The following is a 14,883-nucleotide window of genomic DNA, read 5'->3' on the forward strand; positions in this document are numbered from 1 at the left end:
ATAAAAATAAACTGTTTATCTAATTTATCTATGTATCTCTTTATCTCTCTCTTTATCTAATTGTATTAGATAGATAAATTGTGTTATTTCTTTACTCTAAATTGTGTTACAAAAACAGAACAAGTAGGTGGGGCATGGTGGCTCATGCCTGAAATCATAGCCCTTTGGGAGGCCAAGGCGGGAGGATCACTTGATCCAGCAGTCCGAGACCAGTCTGGGCAACATAGGAAGACACCCTATCTTTACAAAAAAAAAAGAAAAGAAAAAAAAAGCTTGTCATGGTGCTGTATGCCTGTAGTCCCAGATACTCATGAGGCTGAGGGGCTGAGGCTTGAGGGACGCTTGAGCCCAGGAGTTTGAGGCTGCAATGAGCTGTGATCACACCATTGTACTCCAGCCTGGGCAACAGAATAAGACCAGGTCTCCTCCCCAACAACCCTCAAAAAAAGAGAGAGAGAAATATAGAACAAGTGCACCAAATTCTGAATAGATTACCGAAGAGTAAGTATATCTTAATTAAAAAATGATTTAGGTGGTATAAACATTTGTATCAAGAACACAAATTTCTATAATTTTGATTAGCTCGATGAGGCTTAAAAATGTGTGCCCTTAGTCCTATTATCATATCTCCTTGCTTCTGTATTACTGTACTCAGGACTATTTGAATGATATTTTCTATGTAGTTTAAAATGTTTTGAACTTTTATGGTAAAAGATATGCATATGAATGTGTGCGTGCATGTATTATTCTGAGTGTCACTCTACAGACAATGGTTTATCTTTCTTTAGCAGAAAATCTCTCTCTAGGTGTAGTAAGCTAGTGTTCTGATTAGAAAGCCCACATTCTAAAGATAGTTACTGCAAATACTTCAGTTATCTTTATCTCTGACCAACACTCAATACTTTTGCAAATAGCAAAATATTAATTTACAAATTGGATTTCATTAGCGAAATTATTATTAAACATATATAGACTTAGTAAATATTTTACAGCCATTCTTAGTTACTTCTTGACCAGGATGTAGTGAGCCCTATAGTCATTAGCCATAGGAATGGCACCCTAGGTTTGATAATTTAATTATCCTTTACCTCTCCCTTCGTTCAGGAATTTCCCATTCTTTTGACTCTGAAAGATGTTAAGATAATCCAACGACTTGAATATTGTCAACAGTGACCTACTGTGAAACTTTTATGCAAGCAATTTCTGAGACCACCAAAAGATAGAGAACAGAGACCTCATTGATGCAATAAATGTGTGCACGATAGCATAATTTGGCCTATGGCTTGTTTTTGATAACCAAGTGGTAAATTAGTGAGGAAGGAAGCAACTCATACAATTTTAGCTATTCGTAGTGATAGAGACACACCAAGTAGAAACTAATAATATTATCTATGTTCAAACAGATTTTAGTCAATTTCCAAATCCTTAAGTACATTTCTATTCATTTTGTCAGATGAGTGAAATAGGAGTCTTTTGTATATCAAAAGTTCACTGAACAATTAATAACATACAGCACATATATAAAATGCTGACCAACAGCAAAATATTTCTTTAGAAAATAAACTCTTTTAAGTTGTAATACATAATATAGAATTACAATATATTATGTTGTACTTTTTTATTAGGTAAAACACACATGAATACACTACCTACTTTTAAGCAATAGGGGTTAATATTTCCTGTTAGAGATTAGAAAGCAATGGTTATCAACTGGATTTTATAAAACCTTACATCTATAACTTCTCAACAAATTTTACCTTTTATGATTATCACTATTACATATTTTTAATAAACACACACTTCTCACACTATTTGAAAATAAGATCTATATCATTTGGGTTTAAGATAAAAGTAGCTCAAATTTTAGTGAGATTTTAATATAGGGCTCTCGATATGTATTCATGTAAATTATGAAGGAATTTTTATTTCCTCTTTAATTTGGAAATAATCACTTTTTACCATCTGTCTGACTTCCTTCCCTTCAAAAGTTTTCATACAATATTCTTTATGATTAAATGGATATTCAGCATTCCTTATTCCTTAAAGGAAAATCTTTCAACTTTTATAAATGATTTTATTTAATTATTAGACTTTTTAGCTTTATGTTATTACTATAATGTGTCAATTTAAAATGTCATATGTTAAATTACATTTTTCTTTCCTGTCCACTGAGATAATTCGTATATTCTAATTTTAGTCAATATTTGTTGATAAAATATCTTATGTTTGTTAAGGTGAATATTTGGGAAATTTCCTGTCACAGTGGCGGCACCAGCAAGCAATTCATCAAAGTATGAGCTATATTCTTTGCTCTTTAGCGGATGCAAAATAACATAAAATATGTCTTTTTGCCTAAAAAGCAAAAGTATGGAAAGTTTCTATTAATAACATTAATAAAATTGAGTTCATTGAAATGAATTCTATATAGGCTGGGTGCAGTTGCTCACACCTGTAATCCCAGGACATTGGGAGGCCAAGGCAGGCAGATCACTTGAGGTCAGGAGTTCAAGACCAGCCCGGTCAACATGGTGAAATCCCCATCTCTACTAAAAATACAAAAGTTAGCCAGGTGTGGTGGCATACACCTGTAATCCCAGCCACTCAGGAGGCTAAGGCACAAGAATCACTTGAACCTGGGAAGTGGAGGTTGCAGTGTACTGAGATCACACCATTGCACTCCTGCTGGATGACAGAGTGAGACTCCATCTCAAAAAAATAAAAAGAAATTAATTTTATATAAAACAATTTACCCTCATGCCCAAGGGTAATAAATAAATGCTATTAAATTATATCATCATAATATTAAAACTGCAAAATTGAAGCACAGAAAATTCATGTAGTCTTTTTTGGATACCATAAGTATTTGCTAAATATGTATTAAATGATCTGCATCCTAGGAGTTTGAAATACTTTAGCGAACAGAATTGACAAAATATTCCTGCTTGAATGCTTGTCTGAAAATTACTATAATGTCCATATAGGAAGATCATAGTATTGACCATAAATGATCATAAAAAGATAATAAAATAGCTATTGTTTATAGGCCTTTTTGTCCAATATATTATATATGTTATTACAATGTAAATGTATATATATTTTATTTTTTACATATAGGAAAGTAAATGCATTGATATATTTGTAAATGTGCTGATTAACTTGTCACTAATTGAAGAATCATATAAATGAAGATCATTCAGACTTTTCATTCTTCATTATAAATGAGGAAAGCAAAATGACAAAATAAAAGAAAAACCCAAAAAGGGAAATTTTCTAACTCATGAGTACCCCCATGAGTTTTATACTTTTTATATAGCATCATCCCTAACTTTTTTCATTTATTTTATAGAGGTTATCAGATTTATTACAAAGTATACTGACCATTCAATTGGTTTTATATGCTCCTTGATTGCTTGCTTTTTTATAGTTTATGAGCAGAAATATTTTAGATACATATATTAAGATACAGCTACCTACAAACTATTACTGAAAACAGAATATATTTTATATATTAGAGATACATAGATTGTGAATCAGTTTATGGCTTGAAATTTGTTACTGAAAGTTCTGTCTTTTTTAAAAGGCAGCGACTTTAAGAAGTGTTTGGTTGCCTAATAGCTGCTGAAAATTGTGAGTGTGTGTGTGTGTGTGTGTGTGTGCGCCTGTGTGTGTATTTCGAAGTCTATTCAAAATGCTTGTCCATTTTACTGGGTTGCGAAATGGGTATAAAGGGTACAGGGAATTTAATTTAATCTGGTTAACTGAAAGTTACTCCATGCCTTTGAGTTGGAGAAAAGACAAGTTGATTTCTTATGAGTGAATTATTTGTTATTAAATGTATGTTTTTCTGAGTTGTTGCTTTATTATTTATATAGATAAGTATCAAAATATGAGAAAAAAGATTCATTTGTCCTATATGCTAATGGATAGATTATTTTTAGCTATGAGAAAAGAGAGCCTAAATTGGTTTGTTAGTATGTTTTGTCAAAATCTAGAAAGAAATTGGTGTTGGGGGGGGTATTGTTTAACTTGTTAAATGTTTAAGCTTGTTAATGATTTGGCAGTCCTGATGGTTTAATTTAAGGATTGAAATATGTCATATTCTATTAAAATTACCATGGCTTAGAATTAATAACTGTTGACAAGAGATGTAGAGTATAAAGCCAAATATCTGCTTCTCTTTATGTGAGGACGAAAACAGGTTAGGTGGTCACTCTGGGGATAAAAGATATGGCCACCTTCAAGGGGCTTTAGGGGAAAATCTGTTCCATTTCCTTTTCTAGCTTCTAGAACTGCTTTCTTATCATCCTTGGTTTATGCCCACCTTTTCCTTCATCTGTAAAGACAACAGTGTAACATGGTTGCTTCAATCCTCACATAGCCTTTTTCTTCTATCTTCAAATCTCTTTCTGCTTCCCTCTGATAAGGATACTCCTGATTACATTTAGGACACACACAGATAATCCAGGATAATGTCCTCAATATCCTTAATTTAATTGCATCTGCAAAATCCCTATTACCATATAAAGTAACTTTCACAAGTTCCACAGGTTCCAGGAATTGGAACCTCATCTCTTTAGTGGCCATCAAGTCTACCCTTTGATCATCTGGCTACTCTCTGGCATTCTATATACAAAGGTAGCCCTCCAGTTAGCACATCAAAAAGCCATGGTTTTCAAATTAAATTCCATTGCATTCTTAAATTATATTCTACTAATTACATGAAATTATTTTTTCTTTGAAGTTTCTTTCTAATCAACTACCACTACCTTATTACTGGGATATTATCTTTAGCTTCAATTATGGCATCCATTTTCCATGTAATCTGCCTGTCTCTAACCATACTCAGTCCTACTTCATAGCAGCCAGAATTACTTTTCTAAAAATTAAACACAGCTATGTTACTCAGCTCCTTAGAAAGACTCTGCTTATTTTTACCATTCATGGGACAAAATCTAAACTTACACTTTGGAATAAGCTGTTCACTGTAGTCTGAGATCAAAACTCCATTTTTTTTTTTTTTAAGACAGAGTCTCACTCTGTCCCCCAAGCTGGAGTGCAGTGGCATGATCTTGGCTCACTTCAACCTCTGCCTCCTGGGTTCAAGTGATTCTCCTGTCTCAGCCTCCCAAGTAACTGGAATTAGAGCAACCACACCTGGCTAATTTTTTTATTTTTAGTAGAGATGGGGTTTCGCCATGTTGGTCAGGCTGGTCTCGAAGTCCCGACCTCAGGTGATCCACCTGCCTCGGCCTCCCAAAGTGCTGGGATTACAGGCGTGAGCCACAGTGCCCGGCCTCCATTGTCTTTCTTATCACCCACATCATTCCATTCAGTACACCATATGCTCCCACTACACTGAGGATTAACACTACTTTACAAATCTGTACTATAAAATTAACTCCAGTATTTTGCTTGGAAATCTCCCATTTATCATTCAGGAAGGCAGGTGCTAAATTTCATAACGATTTTTCTCCCTTCTGCAATGTATAAAAATGGCTGCTCCATCTTTTGGGTTTTCACAATTCAGTCTTATTTCTTGTATAATATTTGTTGTATGGTGTTAATTTTTTAAAATAACCACTCTATCCCCTCAACATGAATTTGGGCATGTGAAAAGTACTGTGCCCAGTTCATCTTTGTAGTCCCAAAGCCTAGAACTCAGCAGAAAGAAGACATTGGACAAATGTGATTAGTTAAATGAATGAGGCCTTCAGAGGCAAGTGAAATGAACTAGTGCCCACAATACAACATAAAAGACAAATTTGTACCCTCTCTTCAAGATTACAGCCATATATAACACTAGAGTCCTCTCAAGAAATAATCTTTGATTAAACAGGAAATTAACTTCGATTTTTAAAATAAATATGGGTATTTATTATTACTTACAGAAACAGTAAAAAAATGTATATAAAACACATCTGTTAACACTTGACCCAAGATTTTTTTTTATGGGAAGTTTAAAATTACTCAGTGATGCAGTTGTTCTATAAATTTTCCACTGCCTTGAAAACTATGGCAATTTTATATTTTCAAAACTTGTTTAAAAAATAATTTTGCTGATCAAATAAATGTGTTATTCTTTCAAAATATATTTATATGAGTTTCTTCATTTACAAATTAAATTTTAAAATGTTTGCAATTTTTCTGATCTAAAACCTTTGTATATTCACTCAAAAATACTTTTCTCCAATCAATCTCTTTCTCCTTTTGAATTGTTACCTGAGAGGGTCTGATTGCTTTATATAGATGCTCGAAGCAGTATTATTTTTTTCAGAAAATAAAACAATCACATTACCTAGGACCCTCAATTTGGCTTCCAAAATTCTGCTTGTCAAAAGCTGGATTGCCTACTCCATGTTTATTTTCTTTACTAGTCAATAGCCCCATTGGCTGTTTTTGTGGTTGCCATGGTGTGCCCCCAGATCTGTCTTCATAGCTGAGGCTCTCTTAGCCCCAGCTTCCCAGACTGTTGGCAGTTGAAAACTCATAGCTGAGTCTTTGCCTAGGACCTGTCCTTACCTGAAAGGAGATGCTTTGCTCTTCTTCCAACCCCAGACCACATCCAATCATTGCTTTATATGAAGGTACAAAGACCAAGCTCTTTTCCCTCAATTCAAGATATCTCTAATGAGGTACCCCAGCTCAAGCACTTTCTGTGGGATTGCCCAAGATCTCTGTTATAATTGCTGTTCAAATTGTCTATTTCTCTTTCCTTCACTCTCTCACAGACATTGTTTTCTGAGTATTTCACAATCAACTCCTTGCGTGAAAAAAAAAAAAATCTCATTTCCTAAAACTTTTCCTGGGGAATCTCCCTTAAAAGAGTTGGAGACCGGCATGGCCTAGGACATGGACTGTAAAATGATGCTTTGAAGCTAAATTGTCAGCTGAAAGAAAAAAGTCTCTGTCAGTGGTTGCAGGTGGAGTGTGAATGGCCCATAGCATGCTGTAGTAGGGCAACTGTTAAAACTTGCTACTAGCTGGGGACTGGATCAGGATACCAGAGAATGTCTTTGCAAATGCAGTATCACACACATTTGTGAGGAACAGTGGGAGTGGAAATCACAATAATGTAATCAGATGGCTCTTGCTGGGTATCATTAAGGCATTGAAAAAGGCAAAGATTAAGGGTGAATAATCACCATTTTAAAGAATGAAACTTAGGGGGTCACTTTGGAAGCATTTAGACTCCATTCTTGGCAGCCACAGATCTGTAAAAAATGAGGGCCAGGTCCAGGACTTACTTCTAAGGACAGTAGAGCCCAAATTCCCTGGAACCCACTAGGACTGTAGAAGAAGCCACTTCTTTTGCTTGAAGATGGTGCAGACATCTCTGCATTCCAAGATAATAACATGAAACTGCTCTCCCTAGGATTTAATCCCACATAGCTAGTGATGTTAAGATTATATGATAAGCCTTCCAAGCAAAGTCTTCCTTCACACAGAGGTTACTAGCCTATCTCCACACATACAAAGGCAGTAAAAGGTCTAAACAATTGTACCAAATGTGAAGTCTCAAAGGCCTAGTAGAATTTCACCTTGGTACTCTTCAGTCTGTGACCCCAGATGTTACCTAAACTTTCCAATCTCATACTATGTAAAATTGCTTTAGATTGTCATACCAATGATTATAAAATCTGTGGCTTTAATACAGTAGCTATTTCTATAATAAGAATGTAATACAGTTGTTCCATGAACAACACAGGTTTGAAATGGACACATACATTTATAAGCAGATTTTTTTCAATAAGTATTGTTGGAAAATTTGGGGTAGATTTGTAACAATGTAAAAACCTCAAATATGAATTGCCAAGCCTAGAAATACAAAAAAAAAAAGTTGTGAAAAAGTTAGAAATGTAATGAATGCATAAAGTGTATGTAGATACTAGTTTATCGTATTATTCACTACCATAAAATATACACAAATCCACTGTGAAAAGTTAAAATTTATCAAAGACTAAGCAAACAAACACAGATCATACATAGTGCTCATACATCCCGAGTAGCTGGGATTACAGGCATGGGCTCCTATGCCCGGCTAATTTTTATATTTTTAGTAGAGATGGGGTTTCGTCATGTTGGCCAGGCTGGTCTGGAATCCTTGACCTCAGGTACTCTGCTCACCTTGGCCTCCCAAAGTGCTAGAATTACAGGCGTGAACCACTGTGCCTGGCCACTGCAATAATTTTATAACCACCTCCTGTAGCTATTGCAGTGATCCCAAGTGTTATGAGTAGCCACTTAAAACATCATGTGATGCTAATCATCTCCAAGTGAGCAGTTATCTCTCCAGCAAATTGTGCATCACAGTAAAAAGTGATTTTTCAAAGTTCTTATAGATTTTTCTTCCTGTTTAGTACAATACGTAAACCTTGAATAACACCACTGAACCCATATGAAGTGCCACTAGTGATGCTGCAAGTGCTCCCAAAGAGCAGAGAAAAGTCATGACATTACAAGAAAAAGTTAAATTGCTTGATATGTACCATAGAATGAGGTCTGCAGTTGCTGCCATTTTGAGATAAATGAATTCAGACTAAGAACCATTGTGATAAAGAAAAGAAAATTTGTGACACCATCACTGCAGCTACATCAGCAGATGTGAAAACTGCACTTCTTTTTGTGAAATATATTTATTTTTAATCTCATATTTAAAATGCAGCTTTTATGGAGATTCAGGATTGCTCTAAGGAAGGCATAACTATAGACTCTGATATAATGCAAGAAAAAGCAAAATCATTATATGATAACTTAGAGCAAAATGAAGGTGAAGGATTTCAAGCTGGAAAATTTAATGCCAACAAAGGATGGCTTGATAATTTTAGGAAGAGTTTGGCTTAATACATTTCAAGATAACAGGAGAAGCAGCTTCTGCTGCCCAAGAGGCAGCAGCAGAGTTCCCAGATGCCAATAAGAAAATCACTGAGGAAAAATGATATTTGCCTGAACAAATGCAGATGAAAGTGTCCTATTCTAGAAAAAAAAAAAGCCACAAAGGACATTCATTAGCATGGATGAAAAGTGAGCATCGGGACTTAAGGCGGTAGAGATAGGCTAACTCTACTGTTTTATACAAACACACTTGGGTTTATTATGATCAGGGCTGCTCTTATCTATAAAGCTGCTACACACTAAGTTTGAAGGGAAAAAAAATAAACAGCTTCCAGTTTTTTGGTTGTAAAACATGAAGGCCTGGACAATGAGAAACCTTTTTCTGACTTGGTTCCATTGATGCTTTGTTTCTGAAATCAGGAAGTACTTAGCAAGTAAGGGACTACTTTTAAAAATTCTTTTGATAGTGGACATGCCCCTAGCCACTGACAACCCCTTGAGTTCAACAGTGAAGGTGTCAAAGTGCTCTATTTGTTCTTAAGCACAATGTGTCTAATTCAGCTTCTACATAGGGGATCATAAGAATATTTAAGGTTAATTACACACAGTACTCTCTAGAAAGGATTGTCAGTGCTGGAAGAGAATCCCGATAGAGAGAACATCATGAAATTGTGGAAGAATTATAACATTGGAGATGCCTTTGTTGTTACAGAAAAGTAATGAAAGCCATCAAGCATAATTAAGTAAGTTCTTGCTGAAGAAAACTGTATCCAAATGTTATACAAAACTTCCCAGATTTATGATGATGCCAATCCAGGAAATCATGAAAGAGATTGTGGATATGGCAAAAAAAAAGAATAAAGAAAAAACATGGTCAGGGGGTAAAGCGTTTCTAGCAATGTATCTTGGAGAAATTCAAGAGCTAACACACACCACACCAAACAAATTAGCAGAAGACCACCTGATGATGATTTCTTATGAACCAGTGCCAGAAGATGAGAAAGAAGACGTGGAAGAAGACATAGAAAAAGCATTGCCAGAAAACATTTTGACATTAGGCAATCTGGCAGAAGAGTTCTGATTGCTCAACGTTGGTTTTGATTTCTTTTAGGACATAGACTCTTCTATAATACAGCTACTGAAACTAAAGCAAATGGCAGGAGAAGGATTGGTACTGTACAGAAACATTCCTATAGAAATGAAAAAGAAAACAGTTATGACAAAAGTTACTATGTATTTTCATGAAGTTACAGAATGTGTCTCTCTCCTGCCTCTCCTTCCACCTCTTCCACCTCTGCGACTCCTGAGACAGCAAAGCCAATCCCTCCTGTTCCTCCTCTTCCTCACTCTAGCCAATCCCTCCTCTTCCTCACTCTACTCAATGTGAAGACAATAAGGACCTTAAAGATGACTCAATTCTCCTTAATGAATAGTAGATATATTTTCTCTTCCTTATGATTTTCTTATAACATTATTTTCTCTAGCTTACTTTATTGTAAGAATAGAGTAATGCATATAATATAGAAAACGTGTTAGTAGACTACATTACTGGTAAGTCTTCCAGTCAACAGTTGGCTATTAGTAATTGTTTGAGGAGTCAAAAGTTTTACATAGATTTTGACTATTTCAGGGGTTGGTGCCCCCAACACCCACATTGTTCAAATGCAATTTAACATGTTACCTACCAATAAATATTAATACTAGGCATTATAGGTCTTATCTCTAGGTATGTTCTTTAGAGTAAAAAGCCTACTTTCCCAATTCACCTCTAATGTATATGAATCCAAATTAAATTAATAAGTGATTGAGAAGAATCACAGGTAGAAAAATCTGTAGGCATTTTAATTTTTCAATATCTCCACTATATCAGGTATCATTTTAAAATATAATTTATAATAAATATGGATCTGACTTCACTATTATTTTGTACTATATGATTTATAGCCCTATATACCGAAAGGACTAGAAATACTGTTATTTTTATAGGAGCATAATTAAGTAAAATTGCCCAATATTCTTTGACAAAATAATACACCTAGGAGAATCTCAGCCTTTCAGAAAACAAATCTATAGGAAAGACATCTTGTTGATTCACTTAACAGATACTTACTGACTACCCTTCTATGTACTAGGCACTAGCCACTGGGCAAATAATCAATAAGCTATATCACATCATTACTCTTACGTCATAAGTAAGACATAGATGTCTTCCTTATGTATGTGTATATAAAATCATCATAGTCTGTGCTGTGAAGAAAAGGGAGTGTTAAAACATACATCTAACAATAACACATAATTTAGCTTGGCGGGTTATGTGATTTTTTTATCACACTTTGTGGTGAAAATAGTTTACTTTTCTCTCTCTCTAAGAGTCCCAAAGGAAGAGATTGTGTATTGTTTACCATTCTATATTCATTTTAAAGCACAGCATTGGGAAACTTTATTATTTTTGAATGAGTGCATAAACTAATCTAGAAAAACAAACTGAGAGCACATAAAGTCAGTGATTCATGGAGCATTTATTAACTGAAGATAGTGCTAAGTCTTTCCTAAGTCTTAAAGACTCAAAGTGTAAACTGCAGTATAATTGTGGAAACCAAATAATGGAAAATTATTCTTTGGAAATATTACCTGCATTTTTCGTAAAGCAGGCATTATTTCTCATTTTTAAAATGGGCTTTATTATAATTTCCAAGTCAAAAGGGTGAAATTCCTTTCTGTTTTAGATAAACATAGATAAGTCAAATTAAAATATGAGACAAAATATACAGAAAGATAATTCATTTTTTCCCTCAAAAGCAAAGGAAGTTTTAAATAACTTAAATAAATTTAGAAAACATTCATTGAGAAAGAGAATATACACAGCAGCATGAAAAAGCATTTCACATTGGATTCCATCATTACATTTATGAGCTTCTAAGAATTCACAGATTATAAGCACATTATCAAAGTAATTTCTTAAAATCATTTGTTTATATATTTATAAATTGCCTTAAGGAACAACCAGAGACATCTATTCAAAAATCGTATGTACAGCATAAAGCACTAAGCAAAAGAAATAGATTCTGGCCAAGTTAACCAAAATAAAGAAAAGTATGAAAGGGGATATAATGTATTTGAAGACTATTGGGTTAACTTACAATAAAATAAGGGAAAATAAAAGCCTTCTCATGTAAAATCCAAGGTACTTCTTGTGATTCAAACGGTCATTTTTGGCAGCTTGATCTGAATCACCTGAGGTGCTTGTTAAAAATGATGGATTCTTGAGTTCCAGCTCATAATTACTGAATCAGACTATCTAGTAATGGCCTCCAGGAATCTGCATTTTTAACCCCATCAGGAAGGATAATTAAGCATTTTAATATTTGTTCTTAGAGTGACTCTGCTCCAAAGTTTCCAAATACAATGTTTTTCTACAAATGTCAAAAATTTGGGGGAGATTAAACTACATTTTCCACTCCAAGTTGCAGAACCGTCTCTATCTTCATGTCCTTATAGGATACATATTATATTACACTGTCAATGGCATTATTTGTGTGGATACTTCTCTCTTAAGTTTTCCATAATTTATGAGCTTATTTAGACTAGCATCTTGATAGTCTGTGTATACCGCACAGCACAAAGAACAAGGACTTTTCACGTTTATGTGCTTAAATGTTACTTGAATTGAATGACATTGATAACATACAAGAGTAATGACAGTTTTATGGGTAAGAATATTACATTGAATGGACTTCTTGGTGTGTGCATAAATTTAAAATTGTAAAACTTATTCTGAGTCTTATTAGTTCATTTTATACAAGAGTAAAAAATGACAGCAGGCTCATGGTTAAATTTAATGGAAACCAGAGGTCCCCAGAGAATCAAAGTCATAATCAATCATTTCTTTTCTCATATATTTAGTAAAATATACCAAGTTTCAAAATCTTTTTATTTCTCTGAAAATTGCATTTGAGATTGATTAGGTCAGGAGCTGCACACATTTTTAAAATCATTTAGCTGCTCATCCTGATATCTCTCTGAGAATTTCTGATATTGATTAGAAACTGCACCACTTATTGAATAAGATATAAAAACGATAATTTTGTTTTTGACAACACCCGCCTGTATTAATTTATGTGCAAAAAGACAGCTTTCCTTGTTAAAAAAAATACATTACTATAAATATAAATAATGTAAAATTCAAGACTCAGAGCAAAAACTCCTTCTCTCTGTGCTGTAACTTAAAAATAATTCCCCAGGAGGAAAGGGCTCTGGTTATTTGGACAGTATATGTGAGATGCAGACATCTGTTAGGATATTTTTTCCCTTATTTTTTTAAAAAAGTTTTTGCATTGTAGTTCCAATCTCTCCAATACGTGTCATATTCACATGAATAGCTGTCTTTGCAAAATTAAACAAATGAATAAATAAAGCCCTGAAGACTCATTATTAACAAGTGACCATTTGTTTCAAATATTGTTTAGCTAAAATAGATATCCCATATAAACTAAGAGTTAATAGAATCACAGGGGCCTTTAATAAAATTCTGTAAGAACTTTTGCTGGAAAAGCTGAATCTCCTAAAAATCCCTTCTTTTGATTTTTATAATTCATAAATTTTCTTTTGATTTGGTAAGCAAACATTATCATTTGGTAATAATTATTTTGAAAATAAACATTTTTATTACATGTTATTGAAAATATATGTTAAATGAAATGCCTATTTAAATAAAACTAAATACTGTACTAAAAACTGGAGGCCTATTTTATGTGATTTTTTTAAAAAAAGCTAATTTGATAAAACATTTTATACTATATTTTCAGTAATATCTATAGAGAAATAGCTGCAGTAAGTTCAAATAACATTTTAAAATAAACTAGTTTGACTGAAAATATTTGCCTAACTTTATTAAATGAATCTATTATAATGATACATAAGCATTTTTAAATATAAATGAAATGAACTAAGAATACAATTATTACTGAAAAGCAAGTGACAGTAAAAGAAGCTATCAAACTTTACATTGTTTGAATATATTGAACCGCCTCTTTTTTGACTTACATTGTTCAAATATATTCAACAGCCTCTTTTTTGCTGAAATTTCTTGGCAAGAGTTCATTAATAAGTATGTGATGAATGTAAAATAAGAAATATTCAAAGTGCCATGCCTTACTATTTTACATATTGGCCTATTTTATAATTCAGAGTGGTGTTTGGTTTATTCAGGCTGCTATTAAAAAAAAAAACATGAACTAAGTGGTTTATAAACAACAGAAATTTACTTCTTATAATTCTGGTGACTGGGAAGTTCAAAATCAAGTTTGCTGACAAATTCAGTATCTGCTGAGGCCTACTTCCTAAATCATAGGTGGCCATCCTTCTACCATAACTTTACATGGCAGTAGGAAAGAGAGGACTCCCCCTTTTATAAAAGCAGTAATCTCATTTATTGGGGGCTCCATGATCTAACCACCTTGAAATGCTCCACCTACTAATACCATTGCTTTGGGGGTAGGATTTTCATATATGAATTTTAAGGGGATATAAACATTTAGAACATAGCAGCCATTTTTATCAAGTAGTGTTTATTATACATCATGAAATTCATCTCCATTCAAGACAAAAGAGAACTATGTTTCTGTCACTAATTTATTGGCATAACTTATTTTATTGCAATTCACAAATATTGAGATTTTTTTTTTGCAAAGGGAAGGTTTGTGGGAATCCTGTATCAAATATACTTATCAGTACTATTATTTTTTATTATTTTTTTTGAGACGGAGTCTCATTCTGTCACCCAGGCTGGAGTGCAGTGGAATGATATCGGCTCACTGCAACCTCTGCCTCCTGGGTTCATGTGATTTTCCTGTCTCAGCCTCCCTAGTAGCTGGGATTAGAGGCATATGCCACCACGCTTGCCTAATTTTCGTATTTTTAGTAAAGATGGGATTTTGCCATGTTGGCTAGGCTGGTCTTGAACTCCTGATCTCAAATGATCTGCCCACCTCAGCCACTCAAATTATTGGGATTACAGGAATGAACCACTGCACGTTGCCTTATCAGTGCCAT

The 14,883-nt window shown here is 33.9% G+C and overlaps 1 protein-coding gene across 2 annotated transcripts in view, besides 1 other annotated feature; it reads right to left on the reverse strand.

The window, feature by feature from the left end:
• EYS (eyes shut homolog) overlaps window positions 1-14,883 on the reverse strand; it is a 1,987,247-nt gene that overhangs the window by 1,242,343 nt on the left and 730,021 nt on the right. The window lies entirely within an intron of this gene.
• Window positions 6,383-6,552: an enhancer, noted in NCBI's record as "experimental_92499 CRE fragment used in MPRA reporter constructs". NCBI's record gives its function as "activates a minimal promoter by MPRAs in K562 erythroleukemia cells, with activity observed for the introgressed 6:65678683 variant allele {active_cell/tissue: K562}" and the evidence as "EXISTENCE:reporter gene assay evidence [ECO:0000049][PMID:34662402]".

The sequence above is a fragment of the Homo sapiens genome, chromosome 6 (genome assembly GCF_000001405.40).
Source record: "Homo sapiens chromosome 6, GRCh38.p14 Primary Assembly".
In the NCBI taxonomy this organism is placed as follows: Eukaryota; Metazoa; Chordata; class Mammalia; order Primates; family Hominidae; genus Homo; species Homo sapiens.